The following is a 21,103-nucleotide window of genomic DNA, read 5'->3' on the forward strand; positions in this document are numbered from 1 at the left end:
ATCCTTTTTTTTTCTTTTTTGAGGCAGGGTCTCACTCTGCCGCCCAGGCTGGAGTGCAGTAGTGAGATCGCAGCTCACTGCAGCCATGACCTCCTGGGCTCAAGCGATCCTCCAGCCTCAGCCTCCCCAAATGCTGGGATTATAAGCATGCGCCACTACTCCCGGCCTTAATACTTTATTTAGGAATGAAGGAAGGCGGGAACACCCAAACGCGGTTGGTGTGAAGCAATCGCCTTAAAGCTGAGGGGAATGTGTGGTTGTTGGGGGTGGAGCCAGGAACCCGACGCCGTTGGAGAGCAGGAAGCGCCCCGCTGCCCGCCTCCACCCCGCGGCGAGGGCTGGGAGGGGGCCGGGAAGGAGGCGGGGCCGCCCCTGGGAACCACCCGGCCCGGCGCGGCCACGTGACCGAGCGCAGGGGCGGGGAGAGGGCGCCCCGGCTCCGCCCAGCGCGCATGCTCGCGGCTCGGCGCTGAAATTCAAATTTGAACGGCTGCAGAGGCCGAGTCCGTCACTGGAAGCCGAGAGGAGAGGACAGCTGGTTGTGGGAGAGTTCCCCCGCCTCAGACTCCTGGTTTTTTCCAGGAGACACACTGAGCTGAGACTCACTTTTCTCTTCCTGAATTTGAACCACCGTTTCCATCGTCTCGTAGTCCGACGCCTGGGGCGATGGATCCGTTTACGGAGGTGAGTGAGTTTGCGGGTGCAGCCAGCCATGACCCACCGCTCTAGGCCCCCACCCACCTTCCTCTGTCAACCTCTGGGCGAACCCCCACCGGGCGGAGGGCGCGTGTGTGCGCGCGTGCGCAGTGTGTGCGGGCCGGGGTCGCCGCGGCTGCGGCCTGCTGTGGTTGGTGGGTTCCTCTGAGATTTTGTTGTTTCGGTCCTACAGATAAAACTCAGGGAGGAAGGCTTTGAGTCTGTCCTAAAAGGCTGTTGCGAGAGGTCTTTCAGCCCCCGTTTTTACCATGTCCCTCTGCAGTCCTGGCGCAGCAAGAGTGAGGCGCAGGCCTGCGGAACGGGTCCTGCTGGAAGCAGCTGGAATGCCCTGCAGGGCGGGGTCCGGGGCCGGTGACTCAGTGCGGCTGCCGCCGGGAAAGGCAGTAGGATGTGTGATTTGCGGAGTTCACGCAGCCCGCAGGGGAGATGCTAATGAAATGACAGCAAAACGTTAAAATAAGCAGGTGCTAGAAACCACTGCATTCGTTCATAAAAAGCCAGTAGTTCCTTGAGATCCCATTGTTCAGCTAACTAACGAAGAAGTTCATACCCGGGACTGACCATTTTAATTGAAACAATGCAAGTGTACCGAGCAAAACTATCAGCTCACGATTTTAGAGCAAAGAAATAAACTTTTCGGTGTTTCTGGGGCATATCATTACAGTACTTATTTCATCTTTTGTTCCTTTGAGATTGCATATGGGTTACATGGTTATTGTGTCGATTTCTCTAGTTTTAGCTTTTGTGGAGAATGTGCGTTGTCACATTCAGGAGTGTTTTGTTGCCAGTTGTCCACTCTCTTTTATTCCAGGACAGTTCCTCTTTCTTTAGGCTGTTGTGCAAATTTCAAACTGTTAGTTTTTGAGTGTTGCAAAGTGGACCTAAAACTGTTTACACTGATTCAAAAACTTAAATGCTGTGAAGAGTGGTAATTCTTTCGGGGAGATGTAATTATAATTCTATAAGTTATGTATGAGATATTAATTACAGATTTCAGCAATTAGAGTTTACTTATATTCAAGCATGACATAATCTATTTTTCTGTTTCAAATTCTTAATCATCTTGGGACAAATACATCAATTTTTTTCACCTTCCTTAAAGGTTCTAATAGAAAAATCTAGAGCCTATTTTTGTATTAGCCTTAAAATAGGGCTGGTCATGCACCAAGTATCTTTCACTTACACTGAGGTCGAAAAGCGTGTATTTATTTTATCTAAACTAGAATACGATTCCTTAAAACATTAGCCCTATGTGTCTTCCTAAGTAACAGACAGGAACAAAGCATTTTTAAGTTGGCTGAAAATTGCACTTCATTTTACTTAAAAATGTCATTCTGAAGGTAGTACAAATCTCAACTGAAAGAAACTTTACCTGTTTAGATCGTTTTAGGATGTGCTCAGAAATATGTATGGTTTATATTATGAAAAGTTAGATCACTTGCAGTTGGAAAAACAGCTTAGACGTCTTTTCCTTAATAGGTAATGAATGAACTACTTGAATTGATTCCAACTCTTGGGTGCTTAATTATAGCATTCATAACATTTGCACAGTGAAATGAGCTACTGGTACAGTTGTCTATCAACTGAAAGTCAGTATAAAATGACTCTCTCAACCAGGGTTTCCTCTCAGAACCATGGTACACAGGAAAATTGAGAGACTATTTTCTCAATTCTCCCAAGGATAATTCAATGCCACCCTACAAACATAGGAAATAAGTCTATCATATTAACGCCAGCGTATTAGGGCTTAATTATTTTGGTAACTCCAGTTGAGAAAGGTTACAATCATGGTAAACTCTCTTTTCCTCAAACAAGACTGTTCTGCATTGGTCTTCCTCCCTGTGGTCGCTGATACTGTTCTGGCACTCTTTTTTTTTTTAAGACGGAGTCTCGCAGTGTCGCCCAGGTGACAAAACCATAAACTCACTACTCATAACGTCAAGAGTTTGAAGCTCTACTCACAGGTGATAGTCATCCCAGTACAAGAATACTACAAAGAAACCCAGAGTGAAGTGTACCAATCCAGAACTTTCTTTATAAAAACCTTAAAAGAGAAAAAGCTATAATTAAAATACTTCACAGAAGCATATTTTATTGTAGACGCTTTAGATCCTTTTATGTCTGCAGGCTGCATATAAATAAGTATGCAAATAAACATGCCACTACCATTTTTAGTGGAATTTCTCTTATTTTCCAGAATTAAATGAAGTTCCCTGGGGAAGAGCTGCTAGAGCATATTGAAAATAATAAGAAGTTAATTTATATTGAGTCTACTGTGTTAAAGAAGGCAAGGAAATTAGTAAAATCTCCTAGAAAAATTTGTCAGAGATGACTTTGGGGTGTATGTGGCAAAAGTTGTTCAGGGACTATAAGCTTCAGTTACCTGAGATTCATACATGTGGGCTATCCTACTTCTTGAATATGTTATTGCAGTGGTTTTTTTTTTTTTTTAATGCCTACACTGTTTGAGAAAGGTGTGATATTTCAAGGAATATACCTTGTATTTAAAAGAGTTTTAAAATTCCTGATATACTATTATAAGGAACGGCTACTTACATTTATTGAGCTATTGAGTTTATATATTTAAGATATATAATTTCTTTTAATTTAATAACCTTTGGTGTTTATAGCTTTACTTCACAGATTAGGGATCTTTTTTTGTGTATCTATTTAATTTTTTTTTAATCTGGGAATTTTTGAATCTAATGTAAGCAATAGAACATTCATATACGTTTGAATGACAAAATCACATTCTTTTGTTGTGACCTACTGCTCATGGTAACTGAAGCTGTACTGACTCACAAATGTTCTAACTGACCAGAATGGAATGTGGGCATGTCCACGAATGAATATAATTAGGCTAGTGTTGTATCTGGGAAGTGAGAGATATAGCAATTGAAAAATTACAAATTTATTAATTTAGAAAGGAGACATTATTTCTTTTTTCTTTTTTCGTTTTTTTTTTTGAGTCAGAGTCTCGTTCTCGCCCAGACTGGAGCTCAATGGTGCGATCTTGGCTCGGTGTCACTTCTGCCTCCCAGGTTCAAGTGATTCACCTGCCTCAGCCTCCCAAGTAGCTGGGACTACAGGCATGCACCACCATAACTGGCTAATTTTTGTATTTTTAGTAGAGATGGGGTTTCACCGTGTTTGCCAAGCTGGTCTCAAATTCCTAGCCTCAAGTGATCCGCCTGCCTTGGCCTCCCAAAGTGCTGGAATTACAAGCATGAGCCACTGTGCCCAGCAGAGACTTTCTTATAAAGGCTTACAGCCTACAGTGTGGCCATCCTGACAGGCTGGGAAACATATTTAATAGCTTCGGGCAGAGACTGGAAACAGGCACTTCAAGAGAGGAGAAGCTGGAACAGGGATTTATGCCTAAAGGGTTAGCCAGGTATACATATTCAACAGGTTATAGGCAGAGCTATGAGTATTTACAAAGGGGTCCTGATGGGTGGGTACTGAACAAACGTGCAGTTACATGCATCCCATGTTCACTTTGGGATGAAGACTTAACGTGGAAATACATTACAGTTGGGCCCTATATGTCAAAAGGTGAGGTGGGGACATGAAGGCATTCAAGTGAGCAGCCTCTGTAAACTGGCCAGAATCAGTTCATGGTTGGTGGTCTTCTTACTGAGATAGATTTATTGAAATCAATCTCTTGTCCAATTAAAGCTGTAGCTGTAGCTTGTGGAGCAGGAGGGTTAGTCAGTGTCTGATGGAAGATGAGCTGCAATTGTTTTAATATTTATTGCTTATCTCAAGGTCAGTGCTTGTTCAGCTACTAGAGTAAAAGAAAAACTTTGGCAGTTAGAAGATAGTTTATTTTTTAAGTGTAGGGAGTTTGTGACTTAACCCTTGCCTGGCATGGCCTTAGGTCCTAGTTATTTGTTTACAGACAGGGTCTCACTCTGTTACCCAGGCTGGAGTGCAGTAGCGATCACAGCTCACTGCAGCCTTGAACTCCTGGGCTGAAGTAATCCTTTTGCTTCAGCCACCCCACCCCCCAGGTAGCTGGGACTACAGATGTGCCCCACCATGCCTGGCTAACTTTTGTATGTTTTGCAGAGACAGGATCTTGCTTTGTTGCCTAGGCTTGATCCTGTTTATAATTTGATATCTTATTGCTACAAAGAGTCTTCTGTCAGTCTTATGATCTCTATTTAACATTAATGCTCATCAGTTATTGTGTTTAAACAGCAAAAGGAGGGGTATAACAAGGTGCATGCGGCCTCCTGTTCCATCATGGCTGAGAACTCGGTTTTTAAGGTTTCTCTGGGGTCCCCTTCATCAAGAGGGGATCTGTTCAGTTGGTTGGGAGGATTAGTATTTTATTTTTAGTTCTCATATTGTATCATGGGGGGAAATTATCGGACATATATGGATTTGTGAAACAATATGCTTATTCTTGAATTTGTTGAAGGACTTTTATTTAGCGGGTGAAGGTCTTGTATTTTGGAAGCCATTTGGTTCATAAATTATTTTTTCAGTGATTAGAGCATTTCAATTTAGTGTCACTTTTTTCAATGAACTTTAAATTAGAAATCATTCTTAAGAAGAGTAGAGAGTGTGCCTTCTTTCAAATTTAGCTCATATTTCTTTTACATACTCAGATTTTTAAAAAATTGTTACTGTATTTTAAGGAATTAAAAAGAGTCAAATGGAATTTAATTTTTCAGCCTGCACTAACTACTGTATCTGAGTATGCAAGGCAGTAATAATAATCTGCATACCTCCTTTAGTTGTGTGCATTTGAAAGAAAATGAATTGTTTTACAGGGTCTTGTGTTTGAGCTTTACTAAAATTGACTTAAAAATAGGAACATCAGTTGATTTGGAGTAGAAAGGAGTATTCATGACTTTATGGAATGGCTAAGATTTCAATTTAAAACCATTTTATTATATGTTAATATTTAGTTAAATAAAACATAAGATTATTTTGTTTTTCTTTCCTCTTAGGAAGTGTTTTATGTTTTCAAAGGACTAATATGTTATTTATCTCTTGCTGCTTACCACCACCCCAGATTTTAGTGGCTCTATTAGTTTTGCTGCTGTAACAAGTTATCACAAATTTAGTGGCCTAAAATAACATATTCATTATTTTACAGTTCTTTAGAGACAGGGTCTCACTCTGAAATCTGAAATGGATTTTACTGTGTTAAAATCAACATGTCAGTGGAATTGTGTTTCTTCTGGAGGCTGTAGGGGAGAATCTGTTTCCTAACTTTTCTTGTTTCTAAAGGCCATCTGTATTTCTTGGCTTGTCCTGTTCCCCCATCTTCAAAGCCAAAAATCACATTACTCTGACCTCTGCTTCCATGGTCATATTTTCCCTGACTCTGATCTTCCTGCCTCTGTGTTTTCCATCATAAGGACCTTTGTGATTATGTTGGGCCTGACCAGATAATTCAGGATTATCTCCATCTAAAGATTCTTAATCACATCAGTAAAGTCTCTTTTGCTCTGTAAGGCAACATATTCAGAGGTTTAGGGTATTAGGACAAAAAATCTTTGAGGGACCATTATTTTGCCTACCATAGTGGCTTAAAACAATACTCTTATTTCTCATGATTCAGTGGGTCAACAATTTGTATTGTGCTCAGCCGGGCTGTTCTTCTGCTTGTCTCTGCAGTGGTCATGCAGGAATCTTCAGTGATCTGGCAGATTATCTGGAGCTGGATGGTCTAAGGTGGCCTTATTCATATGTTTGGTAGTTGATACTGACCATCACCTGGGCCATGTGTCTCCTCTAGTAGACTTAACCTGGGCATGTTCACTTAGTGGCAGAGAGAGAGAGAGACCCCAAACTGTAAAATCTCTTGATGCCTAAAAGTCTCACAATATCACTTGTACCATATTTTATTGGTCAAAGCAGATCACAAGGCCAGCCCAGATTCAAGGGTGAAGAAATAGATTCTGTCTTTTGATGAAAGCAGAAAAAATTTGTGGCCGTTAAAAATCTTATATAACTAACTTTACATATTTTATTCCTTCTGTAATATTCCTGTAATAGTTATGACATTGGGGTACTCATTTAGTGAATCTTGACATAATTGCTTAGGATTTCACTTTTGAAATGTGTTTAACTGTCATCCTGTATGGCAATTGGTGATTTTAGAAGATACTGCAATTTTATGAACCTTTGATTAAACTTGTGTTTTAACACTGATATATTTATTTATGTAGAAACTGCTGGAGCGAACCCGTGCCAGGCGAGAGAATCTTCAGAGAAAAATGGCTGAGAGGCCCACAGCAGCTCCAAGGTCTATGACTCATGCTAAGCGAGCTAGACAGCCACTTTCAGAAGCAAGTAACCAGCAGCCCCTCTCTGGTGGTGAAGGTAAAAGACTTTGTGGGGAAAAATAACATTTACTTTTTTTTTCTTTTGAAGGAGACAAGCCCCAAACATTTCATTAGCATATAGAAGAACCAAGCTCTTTGGGAGACAAATGTAACAGCCTCTGGGGGAAATAACAGCCTTCTATTCTATTTCAGAGTTATTATATTAGGCCTAGAACCTATAGGGTTGGAACGGTTTCTTCTAAAAAATATTTTAAATTAATTGATTGAACTTTATTTTCTTCATTCTGAAGTTATCCTTAAAACCTCAAGGGAAGAAAAATAAAGGAGTAGGGTAACATTTATACTTACAGTAGTGTGTAGTTTTTTTATCCCAGGGGTGGCAGAACAGCTGGCCACTGAGTTTGGGTGGTGTCTCCGGTACCAGCAAGGCAATGGAAGGCACACTGCCCATGCTTGACATTTAATGAACCCTTTTCACTCTCTATTTGCTGAACCAACTCTCTAAAGTTTAGGTTGTTAATCTCCAGAAGTGGTGGAATTAAACACAAGCACACACACACATACACACAAACAAAAACTCACCTGTAGTCTTACTCTTTCCTCAATCCTAGGATTGATTCCCAGCCAGCATCAGACAGCCTCCTTAGTCTTTTCCTGGAGTGTAGAATAGTCTGGAGATAATAATCTTCCTTAGTACGACTGTAAAATACTGTAATACAACTGTAAAATAAAATATAGAAAAAATTACAGAGGGCAAAACCAATGTTTTTTTAAAAAAAAAGAAAGCAGAGAAGTGTACATGGGGCTAGCTCAGTTATTTTGGAAGCTAATCATAGAACAAGAATTAGTTTTCATACGTTTATCCATTTTGAAGGGAGAGTGAAGGAAATACATTACATATTATATGGTATTCAGCCAGGAAAATAGGGGCCTGACCCTAGTCCAGGATCTTCGTTTTCACTGTGAGATGGGTTTGTACTATTGAGTGCTATGTATTTGAAACCAGTGTTACCTAAACTTCTTTAGGTAGAAGTTCAAAACTACATTTCGATGTTTAGGTAGAAGTTCACATTTACTGTTTTAGATAATTGTAAACTAGAAGAATTCTGTATTTCCAGATGGTATTGCATGTTAAAGCAGGAACACTTTCAAAAATTATTAGATGTGTTCATAGAAAATAGATCGATAAGTGAGTTATAAAACATTAGAAAGTTTCAAAAATAAAAAAAGGAAAAGAAAAGAAAAAAGAGCCAAGTGTAGTGGCTCACGCCTGTAATCCCAACACTTTGAGAGACTGAGGTGGGCAGATTGCTTGAGCTCAGAAGTTGGAGACCACCTTGGGCAACATAGCAAAACCCTGTCTCTACAAAAAATACAAAAATTAGCTGGGCATGGTGGCACATCTGTAGTGCCAGCTACACAGGAGGCTGAGGTGGGAGGATCGCTTGAGCCCAGGAAGTTGAGGCTACAGTGAGCTGAGATTGCACCACTGCATTCCATCCTGGGTGACAGAGTGAGGCCCTATCTCAAAAAAAGAAAAAAAGAGACATAAAAGTGGAGTGGGGAAAAAATAGATTAGAAAGTTTCATGATGTATATTTACTTAGGTTGATGTCAACGAGGCAATCATGATTTATCCCTGATACTACTTTGGTCACTGCCAGAACATTTGTTTAGGCAGTTGATGAAACTGACCTCATATGAAATGTACCTTCTTTGAAAATATTAATTTTCCAGGAGATATATTGAAACTCATAGTTAGAAATAATATGCCTTATGGTTCTGATAGATTTTTTTTTTTTAATTTTAGGGCTTTTTCAGTTATTTTATAGGTGTTCATAGAAGCTTGAAATATGAAATGTTAAATATTTGTACTGGTGAATTTGTTTGGTATTGACCAGATAATTCAGTCACTTTTTCTGTCTCCTGTCGTAATCCTAAACCTCAAGCCAATTGCCCTTCTAACCATGCTTATTAGTTATTTTCCATGAAAGAATGTTTCAAAAACAGAAAACCTGGTTTCTACACTTGGCTCAGCTGTGTGACTTTAGGCGGGCAACTGAATTTCTCTAGGCTTGATTTTTCTTATCTGAAGATGAGGTGATTAGGCTGTATAATCCTTAAAATCTGTTAGAATGCTTTCTTATTCTGTGTGTATGCACTTTTTATTTACTATTGTCTTAACACTATATAAAGTGTTATGCATATATTTTGAAAATATGATTTAAATATCTTTATTTTTATTTTTCCATAAGTTATTGGGGTAGAGGTGGTATTTGGTTACATGAGTAAGTTCTTCAGTGGTGATTTGTGAGATTTTGGTGCACACATCACCCGAGCAGTATACACTGCACCATATTTGTAGTCTTTTATCCCTCGCCCCCCTTCCGCTCTTCCCCCCAAGTCCCCAGAGTCCATTGCATCCTTCTTATGCCTTTCCATCCCCACAGCTTAGCTCTAAATATCTTTTCATTAAGGTTTTTATAATATAAATTGTGTCTGCTTGAAAAGATCTTTCATATCAGATTTCTAAGTTGCTGAAAGAGAATGGGGTTTTACATACTTCTGGTTGTAACTAAAATCATTTAAAAGAATAGGGAGGGGTGATGTTTTATTAATTTGTTGAGTATCTACCCTCAAGTTTTTCATGTGAGAAATTACAAATTTGAATGTCTTTTTTCATCGTTTTTAATGTAGAGAAATCTTGTACAAAACCATCGCCATCAAAAAAACGCTGTTCTGACAACACTGAAGTAGAAGTTTCTAACTTGGAAAATAAACAACCAGTTGAGTCGACATCTGCAAAATCTTGTTCTCCAAGTCCTGTGTCTCCTCAGGTGCAGCCACAAGCAGCAGATACCATCAGTGATTCTGTTGCTGTCCCGGCATCACTGCTGGGCATGAGGAGAGGGCTGAACTCAAGATTGGAAGCAACTGCAGCCTCCTCAGTTAAAACACGTATGCAAAAACTTGCAGAGCAACGGCGCCGTTGGGATAATGATGATATGACAGGTATGAATTGTATAGATGGTATGGCCCATACATCTGTTCCAATAAGATTCAGTTTGGTATGTTGAACATTTTATCAGTTAACTCATGAAAAATAAATGCTTTTGTTTTATCTATATGTTGAGTATCCTTTGCTTGCATATGGTTTGTCTACCAGTAGTATAAGTTGGTTATGTTTAGACTGAAGTAGATCACGATGTGGTTCTTGGACTAGTTCATAGAAACCTGATCTTATAACTGTATTACCTTAATATCTGCAATGAAAAACACTTGAGAACAAACTATACGTGTTGTTAGCATTGCTGACCCTCAGCTCCATGTTAAAGAAATCCTATTTCATGGATTCAAAAATTAAATAAACTTGAGGGACTAAGGTATGCAATGCTGTTCAGTAGGGGAGAAATAAAATGTCAAAAAACATAAATTGAGCAGCTGCAAAGTATATTATTACACACAGTGCTAGAAATGAATGAAGTGGCTTGATCCTTACCTTTCATGAGCCTATAATCGGAAGGGGAACCTGAGAAGTAAAGCAACAGTTATGCAACAGGGTTATTTATGGTATGATCAATTTCACTTATCGCCTGCCTTGTTACAAAAAAAAAAAGCTTTGAGATGACTTATAAAAATATCTGTATTTTGAAACCAGAAAAATGAAGTCAAGGTGAAGAGAAAATACGGGAAGGGAAAACAAAGAAGTGAAAAGTAAAGTCATTTTATTAAATGCAGACTGTAAAGTCTTCCTTTTGCTAGAGGCCTATGCGAAGACATGAAACAGTTATCAGTTACATGACTAACAAGCTAAAAGCAGAACCATCTTTGGCACTAAGACTTGCAATTTGGCAGTAAGAGCTGAGAGAACTTTCTTTCATGTGTCCTTAAATATGACTTTGTGGGAGCCGATAAACCTATAAGGTTTCTTAAGGCAGGCAGATGTCCTGGCTCCAAGCTCAGTAAAAGCATTTCTTTTTTCTTTTCTTTTTTTTTGAGACAGAGTCTCACTCTGTTACCCAGTCTGGAGTGCAGCAGCACAGTCTTGGCTCATTGCGACTTCCGCCTCTCAGGTTCAAGCGATTCTCATGCCTCAGCCTCCCAAGTAGCTGGGATGACAGGTGTGTGCCACCATGCCCAGCTAATTTTTTTTGTATCTTTTGGTAGAGATGGAGTTGCACCATGTTGGCCAGGCTGGTCTCGAACTCCTGACCTCAAGTGATCACCCGCCTTGGCCTCCCAAGTGTTAGGATTACAGTAATGAGCCACCGCATCCAGCAGTAGAAGCATTTCTAAAGTGAGCTAGCATAGTGCAGGTAGACCCCACGGTGCTTGCAGACAGCTCAGTGGCTACTGGGCCTCACCCAAGGAAGCATTCCTTAGGTGGTTCTCAGCCTGGCTGATTGTATCAGAATCACATAGACCATAGGATTAGAATTTCAGAAATGTGGTGGAGCTCAAAGATGTGCTTTTGTCTTATTTTTTTTAAAGCTCTTTAGGTAATTCTGATGCATAGCCAGAATTGAGATCAAGTGATCTGAAGAATGGGGCTTGGATGGTTGACAGATATTTTAGACTGGATTAAACCAGATGGACTACATATATTTCAGGCAGTCTTCCATACATATCAGTTCTTTTAACTGAAATGTTGATAAGAATTAGGCAGCAGAGAGTTTAAGATTATGTTTTCTGGAAGTGATGATAATAATCTCAAGAGCAAACAGTATGTAAAATGCTAGGTATTGCAAATATTTTTTATTCTAATATAAATTTTTTTATTCTAATAGCGTTTAATTCTTATAATCTTGAGATATATACCACTTTTATCTTCATTTTATAGAAGAAGGAAACTGGGTTCATAGAGGCTAATAAACCTGTCCACAGTTAGCCAGCTCAAATTCAAATCCCAATGGTTTGACTTTAGAGCTCTTAACTCCTGTGACCTGCCTGATGATTTTTTTGTTTTTGTTTTTTTGAGACAGAGTCTCACTGTGCTGCCCAGGCTGGAGTGCAGTGGCGCAATCTCGGCTCACTGCAACCTCCGCCTCCCAGGTTCAAGCAGTTCTCCTGCCTCAGCCTCCCGAGTGGCTGGGATTACAGGCACATGCCATCACACCCAGCTAATTTTTGTATTTTTAGTAGAGATGAGGTTTCACCATGTTGTCCAAGCTGGTCTTGAACTCCTGACCTCAGGTGATCCGCCTGCCGCGGCCTCCCAAAGTGCTGGGATTATAGACGTGAGCCACCTCGGCAGGCCACCTGATGTTTTTTGGCACATAGCATAGTCTATGGTGTCAATTAATACCTATTTATTTTAGCAGTGGTGAGGTAAGAGGTAGGACTCGACTCCAGATGCGGGACTTGGACACTGGACAAGATAGAGAAATAACAACAACAACAAACAAATAAATTAAAAAAAAATTGAGGACTAGCTAAAACAGGGCCTGGGGGAAGCAGCTTTCCAGTGACATGCCCACCAGTGTGCCATGTCAATTCATCATTGCCATGGCAACACCCAGGAGTTACCACCCCTTTCCATGGCAATGACCCAAAAGTTACTATCCCTTCCCTAGATATTTCTACATAAGCTGCCCCTTAATGTGCATGCAATTAAGAGTAGGTATAAATATGATTGTAAAACTGCCCTGAACTGCTACTCTCTGCCTATGGAGTAGCCCTGCTCTGCACAGGGAATCAACAGAGCTGTAACATTGCCTCTTCAATAAAGCTATTTTTTTTTTTTTTTTTGAGGTGGAGTCTTGCTGTGTTTCCCAGGCTGGAGTGCAGTGGCACAATCTTGGCCCACTGCAACTTCTGCCTTCCAGGTTCAAGCAATTCTCCTGCCTCAGCCTCCTGAGTAGCAGGGATTACAGGCACACGCCACCACACCCAGCTAATTTTTTGTATTTTTAGTAGAGACAAGATTTCACCATGTTGGCCAGGCTGGTCTCAAACTCCTGACCTCAGGTGATCCACCCGCCTCGGCCTCCCAAAATACTGGGATTACAGGTGTGAGCCACCGTGTCCTGCCTGCACCTAGGTTATAATACTAGCCTTCTAACTGGTCTTCCTGCTTCAGACCTCTGCCCTGTCCAGTCCCTCCTCAATTTTCACACCAGCGCGATTTTTCTAAAACACTTGCCTGCTTCTGCTTTAAACTCTCCCAGGACCTCCCCATCACCTCCTGATTAAATTCCAATCTGGACCTGCTCTTTTTCAAACGTATCTCTCTATTTTGACACATTCAGAATGGAAAAAAAATGTAACTCTTGCTTTTCTACTGCTTGCTTTAAACACCAGAATAGGATCTACTTATACACACACTCTGCTCATGTTACTTACCTCTGCTTTCTATACATTTTTGTTTTTCTGACTAGATTATCTCCATTCTCTGAAGCCAGTTGTCCTTCAGAGTCCAGCTTAAGGAGTCTCTCCCTCCTCCAGAAAAGCCTCCCTGACCACCACTTTACCTGCAATACCCTTTATATACTTCTGTTATTTTCCCTAGAATAAACACTGTCCTATCAGCAGATGACAGTTTTATTGTCATATTTTAGGAATGGGCTTAATAAGACCTCTAGCTCTTGTAACTATACTCTGTGGTGCATGCCTGTAATCCCAGCTACTTGGGAGGCTGAGGCAGGAGAATGTCTTGAACCCGGGAGGCGGAGGTTGCAGTGAGCCGAGATCGCGCCATTACATTCCAGCCTGGGCAACAAGAGCGAAACTCTTTCTCAAAAAATATAATATAATATAATATAATCTAGGTGCAAAGAGTGAAGGCCTGTGGAAATGAAGAGGAGAAGCTGGATTTGAGAGATACAGGAGACAAACTCTAAGACCTAACGACTGGATGGTGGAGGGAGAAGGGAGGAAGAGGTCAGATTCCTGGCCTCAGTGACTGGGTAGTTAGTGATGTCTTTTCCTAAGATGAGGAGGAATATGTTCGGGGCAATTTCAACTTCACATATGTTATTTGGGATATCTGTGGGAGAGCCAAATGGAGGTATTTGGTAGTTGCAAGACTGTGAAGGATAAGCCAGGAAGGATAGTAGAGAATGATGTCACAAATAGAAAGGGAGTGATATATTTTAGAGATGTCAAGAAATACAAAGCCTGCAAAGTGTGTACTGGCATCTAGTGACAATGGCAAAACCAACTTCAGGGCAGTGGTATAGGCAGAAGGTCAGTTGAGTGAGTTAAGTGGTGCGTGAATATTGTGCAGGGAAAGAGGGGCGGTAGTTAAAGAGGATGTATATCAATGAGGGGATGTTTATTTTTTTTGAGACAGGGCCTTGCCTCATTGCTCAGGCTGGAGTGCAGTGGTAATGCTCTCAGCTCGCTGCAACCTCCTCCACCTCCCAGGCTCTAGCGATCCTCCCACCTCAGTGACCCGAGTAGCTGGGACTATAGGCGCATCACCAAGCCCAGCTAAGTTTTGCATTTTTTGTAGATGTTGCATTTTTCGTAGGTTTTGCCGTGTTGCCCAGGTTGGTCTTGAAGTCCTGAGCTCAAGCAATCCACCCGCCTTGGCCTCCCAAAGTGGTGGGATTACAGGCATGAGCCCACCGCTCCTTGCCGGGATGTTTGTTTGTTTGTTTGTTTATGAGAGGGAGTCTTGCTCTGTCACCGAGGCTGGAGTGCAGTGGCACGATCTCGGCTCACTGCAACCTCCGCCTCCTGGGTTCAAGCTATTCCCCTGCCTCAGCCTCCCGAATAGCTGAGTTTGCAGGCGCCCGTCACCGTGCCCGGCTAATCTTTGTATTTTAGTAGAGACAGGGTTTCACCATGTCACTTAGGCTGGTCTCGAACTCCTGACCTCAAATGATCTGCCTGCCTCGGCCTCCCAAAGTGCTGGGATTACAGGCACGGGCCCTTTGCACCTTGCCAGTATGTTTATTTCTAAGGTGAGAGAGACTTGAGCATCCAGTAGTCTCCCCACTTATCCGCTGGGTATATGTTCCACGACCACCAGTGGATGTCTGAAACCTCAGACAGTACCGAACCCAATTGCCATCATTCACACCATCTTTCTGTGCATCTTCCACCTGGAAATGTAATGCCTTTTCCATCTTAACTAAGCACTTACACACACTGTGGCCATAACTTTCATAGTTTGAGGTACGACAGCAAAACTCCATGAATTTCTTTTATCTTCCTCACAATTTCATGGAAGAAGATTCATTTTTACCATAGATCTTAGCAACCTCAGCGTATTATTTTCTTTCCTTATTTAGTTGAGAACTTTCACCTTTTGACTTCAAGAAAGCACTTTATGGCTTCTCTTAGGCATATCTGAATTGCCAGCACCACTGCTACTGCTCTTGTGCTTTGGGGACATCATTAGGGCAAATAAAGGCTACTTGAACACAAGCACTGCATACTCCAGTAGTCGATCTGATAACCAAGACGGCTATAAAGTGATTATGGGGCGGGTGGCATATACAGTGTGGATATGCTGGACAAAGATTCATATCCTGGTCAGATGGTGCAAGATTCATAATGCTACTCAGAACGGTGTGCAGTTTAAAACCATATATGAATTGTTTATTTCTGGAATTTTCCATGTAATATTTTTAGACAACAGTTGACTGCTGATAAGGAAACTGGGAAAGTGAAACTGAAGATAGGGCGTGGGCTACTGTATGGTCATATACCACATATTGACGTTTTGATCAGTGGTGGACTGCATATACAATGGTAGTCTCATTATAATGTATTTTTACTGTACTTTTTCTATATTTAGATGTTTGCTTACCATTGTGTTACAGTTGCCTGCAATATTCAGTAGAGTAACATGCTGTACAGGTTTTTAGCCTAGGAGCAACAGGTTTTACCACATATCCTAACTATATAGTAGGCTACACCATTTTTGTGGATGTGTGCTCTGTGATATACAGATGTACACATAACAAAATCACCTCATGATGCATTTCTCAGAATGTATCCCCATTGTTAAACAACTCATGACTGTGCTTATGTGCAGACAAGAGTTTGTAGAGAAGGAGAGGGCTTATTTCGAGCAAGATCCCTGAGAAGGTTTTGGAGGGGCAGAATTGAAAATTCAGCAGAAGTAGAAGCTTTGGACAGGAGGGATTCCTCTTTCCTTGATTGAATTTGTGGAGTAGGAAGTGCTATGAACCTTGGCTTCCCTATATACATGCCCTAGGGAAGGCCTAGAATCTTCGTCAGTTAAATATCACTATTTGGGATTTCTCTCCAAATGAAGTAACTATGCAGAAAAACATTTGGTTGTTTTTGATTTGATCTAACCCTATGCTATCCAATACAGAAGACACTAGCCATATGTGGATGTTTAAGTTAATTAAAATGAAATAACATGTAGTTTATTAGCTGCTCTAGCCACATTTCAAGTGCTCATTAGTCACAAGTGGCTAATGGTTACTGTATTGAACAATCAAACATTCTGTTGTACAGCAATGGTCTAATCCATTTTTAAAACAAAAAGTTTCTGTGAGATACATAATCTTAAATTGTGCAATGTTATATATACCACCATTAATTCATTCTAAAAATATAACCTATCTTATTCATGATCCATTGAAAAATGGAAAAAATAGATCTAATAGTTTTTTTTTAATTTCGGATTTAATATCATTTGATTTAAAAAGATATTGTCAAATTTAAATAACTTGGAAGTTTCATGCATGCTAGAACTTTTCACTGGTTCTTAAACCTATTAATCTCATTTAAAAATTCAGCATAGAGTGATCCTGGTATTATACGTAAGCATTACTCTTAAACATGGTTTTTAACTCTTTTCTGAAAACATTTTCAGATGACATTCCTGAAAGCTCACTCTTCTCACCAATGCCATCAGAGGAAAAGGCTGCTTCCCCTCCCAGACCTCTGCTTTCAAATGCCTCGGCAACTCCAGTTGGCAGAAGGGGCCGTCTGGCCAATCTTGCTGCAACTATTTGCTCCTGGGAAGATGATGTAAATCACTCATTTGCAAAACAAAACAGTGTACAAGAACAGCCTGGTACCGCTTGTTTATCCAAATTTTCCTCTGCAAGTGGAGCATCTGCTAGGATCAATAGCAGCAGTGTTAAGCAGGAAGCTACATTCTGTTCCCAAAGGGATGGCGATGCCTCTTTGAATAAAGCCCTATCCTCAAGTGCTGATGATGCGTCTTTGGTTAATGCCTCAATTTCCAGCTCTGTGGTAAGTCAGTATCATTTTGGTCTTTGGAAGCCTTTTCTTTTTTCGTTATGAGTGGTATAATACATCTGTGTGTATGTGCAGGTGGATGGGTGGATATATGTTTTATAATAGATGCATAGTGAGTTTATATGTATTTGTAAGATATCGGTTTCTTAGAAAGTGAAAATCGTTAAGTTGGGTACCCATCCCAAGATCAATTAGCAGTTGACAGCTGAAGTTATACTAATTTGATGCAAATCCAGAGTCTATAATGGAATGATAGAGCCTCTTCTTAGTCATTAAGGAGAGCACTGAAAATTAAGTCCTCTGTTATAATGCTTTAAATATATATATGAGAAATTTATATAAATTTATCAAATATTTCTGAAAAGATATATAACAAAATAGTAGCTATAGTTGCCTCCAGGAAGGCAAATTGCCAAACAGGGTGTGATACTTTCACTGTATATCCTTTTGAAATGTTTGAAACTTTTACTTTGTGCATGTGTTACCTCAACAGTTTTCAAAAAACAATCTTAAATAAAAAGGAAAAATAATTTCGTGTTTCTGACCATTGTCTTTTAGTGTAGAGCTAGGCTTTAGAATTAGACCTGCATTGAATCCCAGCTGTACTACATAATTAGAAGTTTGGCTTTGGACAAGGTGCTTAATATTGCAGGGCTTTATTTTTCTATGTGTAAAATAGGAAAAAAAGGTTATTTGGAGGGCTAAATAAGAGTCATAAAGCACTTAGCATAGTACCTGGCTATGTATAAGTAGTTAATCTATTAACTATGAAGTACATGATACTATTTTGTTAAATTTTTATTGACTTAATTAAAATGTAATTTGGTCTAATATAGTTAAAAATTTGATAAAGGTACTAGTGCAATAATATGAATAAAACTTTTTTTTTAAATAAAGAGTGATCATACTGCTAATACTTCATTACCCATGAGTATATTATGCAGACTAACCCACATATTATGATTTAAATCATAGCATTTTTTAAGTTGGTTTTTTTTCCCAAATCTTTCAAATTTGTTTGATCTATTAGAGAGCAAAATCATTTCATTTTCATAAATCTTACATAAAGGCTATCAAGTAAATAGGACTTGAATTGTTTTGTTATAGGACTATTTTTAGATATTGTGAATGTTGTTTACCCTAAGTGTTTTCATGTTTCAGAAAGCTACTTCTCCAGTGAAATCTACTACATCTATCACTGATGCTAAAAGTTGTGAGGGACAAAATCCTGAGCTACTTCCAAAAACTCCTATTAGTCCTCTGAAAACGGGGGTATCGAAACCAATTGTGAAGTCAACTTTATCCCAGACAGTTCCATCCAAGGGAGAATTAAGTAGAGAAATTTGTCTGCAATCTCAATCTAAAGACAAATCTACGACACCAGGTTACGTATTTATAAAAAATTTAGTTATTGCTGATTATATTCAGGATATCTATTCTCAGCATTTTAAATATTCAATTGTGAATGGTACAGCAATGATTTGCCAGGGCCAATGCCTGAATGTTCCAAATGAGACCTCAGCTTTAGTTGATTCAATGAATATTTATTAACGTAGACTAGCCTACTTACTGGTTAAAGGACTTAATATGTTACATTTTAACAGTTTAAACATGCTTTTTCCAGGATGATCATGCTAGATTTTTTTTCTATATTTTTTGATTCAGACAAAGCATGTTTAACTGGAAATCACATTTTAGGGGCATAATGGAGAAACATTCTTGTAGCCAAGTGTGCAGAGCAGTGCTTCTCAATCTTGAGTATGAAGGCACCTCTAATAGCAGAGGGAAGTGAATGTGCATGCAAATGACTCCACTTCTAATTTTATTTATTTACTAAATTGATAAATGATAGAAATTTTTGAAAAAATTGCTGTTTATTGATAAATAATAGATGTATATATTTCGGGAGTACATTTGATAACTTAATACATTTATATAATTCGTAAAGATCAAATCAGTGTAACGAGGATATCCATCACCTTAAATACTTGTCTTTATGCTAGAAACATTTGAATTCTTCTCTTGTAGCTATTTTGAAGTATACAATAGATTATTGTAAACTATAGTCACCCTACTGATCTATCAAACACTGGGTCTTTTTTCTTCTGCCAAACTGTATATTTGTACTCATTAATCAACCTCTCTTCATCCCCCAGTTATATTTATCTGTGTGTATATTGTGTGTGAGCATTTACATATAAAACAAAATTTCTTACCATCGTAAACTGATACTCCAGGAAATGCCATATTTATCTTGTGGTGATTTATACCTTCTGGCACACTTCCACGTACTGTTAATTGAGAAACACAGGACTAAAATATATGGTAATTGAGTTTATTCTGAACTGTATTCATTTTCATTGGAAAGACTTTTAATTCTAAGGTTTAACTTTTTGAAAATACAACCTCTGCAGAAACTATAGTTCATCATAAAGGGGCAGTAAACAGAAATGAGAGTGGGGAAGCGGTTATGGGGTAGGTAGAAATCTGCAATTTCCAGTTGAGCCAGAATGAGAATTGGAAACAATAGCAAGATCCCCAGATGGAATAGGACTAGTTAGTCCCAATTTTCTAAAGACTTAAGCTTAGATAAGAGGCATTCTTTTTAATTGTTCTTGGCTACTGGATATACCCAGAATCACATTTCCAGGGTTTCAGAGATATTTATTTTAGATACTTCATTGTATTCTTAATGGACTCTAGTTTGGAATATGGCCTGAAGTAGTAATAAGTGATAGGTGAAGTCCTCAAATTATGGCCGTGGCTCAAATTCTGCCCTTTGCTTGTTTTTGCAAATAAAGTTTTATTGGAGCACAGCCACACCCATTTACTTACATATTCTCTGTGGTTGCTTTCATTCTGTAATGCAGAGCAGAATAGTTGTGACAGAGGCCATATGGCCCACAAAGCTCAAAATATTTAGTGCCTGGCCCTTTATAGGAAAATATATGCTAATCTTTGATATAGATAAGCCTATTTTTTTATAATACAACCTTAGAATCCTCTTAATGGGAGTGATATAGGCCCAATTTGCCCTACTTTAAATTTACTTCATACTATTTCAATGAGTGCTGTGGGGTTTTTTGTTTTGTTTTGTTTGCTGTTTTTTGTTTTTGAGACAGGGTCTCACTTTGTCACCCAGGATGGAGTGCAGTGAGTGGCATGATCTCAGCTTACTGCAGCCTCGACCTCCCAGATTCAAGAGATCCTCCTGCCTCAGCCCACCAAGTAGCTGGGACTATAGGCATGCCACTACAAGTGGTTAATTTTAGTATTTTTTATAGAGATGGGATTCCTCCATGTTGCCCGGGCTGGTCTCGAACTCCTGAGCTCAAGAGATCCACCCGCCTCGGCCACCCAGAGTACTAGGGTTACAGGTGTGAGCCACTGCACCCCGCTGAATACTATTTTAAGACACTGTAAAGTCAAGGTGTCCTTTTGATAAAATGAATAATTCCTAATTTTCCTTCTGAAGGAAAAAAAGGCAAAATTCCTTTATTTTCACGTTAGGCTTCCTAAAAGCAGGGTAAAATAAATTGACTATAGATATATGTAAGTTGTTGGAAGTTACCATGGCCAGCACACTTCGTGATGAAGGTAGATTTATTAATATACATACAGTCAATTTCTAATTATTTAAATTCTGGTTGTTCAGTTTGAGAGTTTTCTAAGCCCTACTGCCCTCTCCTCATTCTACCTTTTCAAAATTTTTTTTTTTTTTTAAATAACTAAATTCTATGAGTAGGTTTTAGGGCATGTACTTAAATAGAATAGTAAACTTTTTAAAATTTTGAAGTATTTTTATAGTCTACTTTGTGAATGAATATTCCTGATAGAATCAAAGCATTTTGAAGCTGTAATGTAGTTTAGAACTTTTTCCATAGAAATCGT

At 39.4% G+C, this 21,103-nt stretch overlaps 2 protein-coding genes across 10 annotated transcripts in view, besides 3 other annotated features; one reads left to right on the forward strand and one right to left on the reverse strand.

Annotated features, from left to right (window-relative positions):
- The window catches only part of MATCAP2 (microtubule associated tyrosine carboxypeptidase 2), a 66,206-nt gene extending 65,209 nt beyond the window's left edge, over nt 1-997 (reverse strand). The window contains exon 1 of the mRNA NM_001100425.2: nt 607-997. Within this exon, the coding sequence (NP_001093895.1) occupies nt 607-714 (108 nt within the window). The 5' untranslated portion in view covers nt 715-997. The remainder of the gene's footprint in view (nt 1-606) is intronic.
- Nucleotides 147-556: a silencer, noted in NCBI's record as "silent region_18102". NCBI's record gives its function as "represses an Ori minimal core promoter by ATAC-STARR-seq in GM12878 lymphoblastoid cells {active_cell/tissue: GM12878}" and the evidence as "EXISTENCE:reporter gene assay evidence [ECO:0000049][PMID:35858748]".
- Nucleotides 147-737: an enhancer, noted in NCBI's record as "H3K27ac hESC enhancer chr7:36429116-36429706 (GRCh37/hg19 assembly coordinates)". NCBI's record gives its function as "activates a minimal SCP1, AML or CMV promoter by ChIP-STARR-seq in primed H9 embryonic stem cells {active_cell/tissue: H9 hESC(primed)}" and the evidence as "EXISTENCE:reporter gene assay evidence [ECO:0000049][PMID:30033119]".
- The window catches only part of ANLN (anillin, actin binding protein), a 63,930-nt gene continuing 43,328 nt past the window's right edge, over nt 502-21,103 (forward strand). For all 9 annotated transcript variants that reach the window (XM_006715746.3, NM_018685.5, XM_017012354.3 and 6 more), the window contains exons 1-5: nt 502-684; nt 6,906-7,059; nt 9,719-10,033; nt 16,821-17,206; nt 18,374-18,596. In XM_006715746.3, coding sequence (XP_006715809.1) covers nt 667-684; nt 6,906-7,059; nt 9,719-10,033; nt 16,821-17,206; nt 18,374-18,596 — 1,096 coding nt within the window. In that variant the 5' untranslated portion in view covers nt 502-666. The remainder of the gene's footprint in view (nt 685-6,905; nt 7,060-9,718; nt 10,034-16,820; nt 17,207-18,373; nt 18,597-21,103) is intronic.
- Nucleotides 738-1,328: an enhancer, noted in NCBI's record as "H3K27ac hESC enhancer chr7:36429707-36430297 (GRCh37/hg19 assembly coordinates)". NCBI's record gives its function as "activates a minimal SCP1, AML or CMV promoter by ChIP-STARR-seq in primed H9 embryonic stem cells {active_cell/tissue: H9 hESC(primed)}" and the evidence as "EXISTENCE:reporter gene assay evidence [ECO:0000049][PMID:30033119]".

Source organism: Homo sapiens, chromosome 7 (genome assembly GCF_000001405.40).
Source record: "Homo sapiens chromosome 7, GRCh38.p14 Primary Assembly".
Classification (NCBI taxonomy): domain Eukaryota; kingdom Metazoa; phylum Chordata; class Mammalia; order Primates; family Hominidae; genus Homo; species Homo sapiens.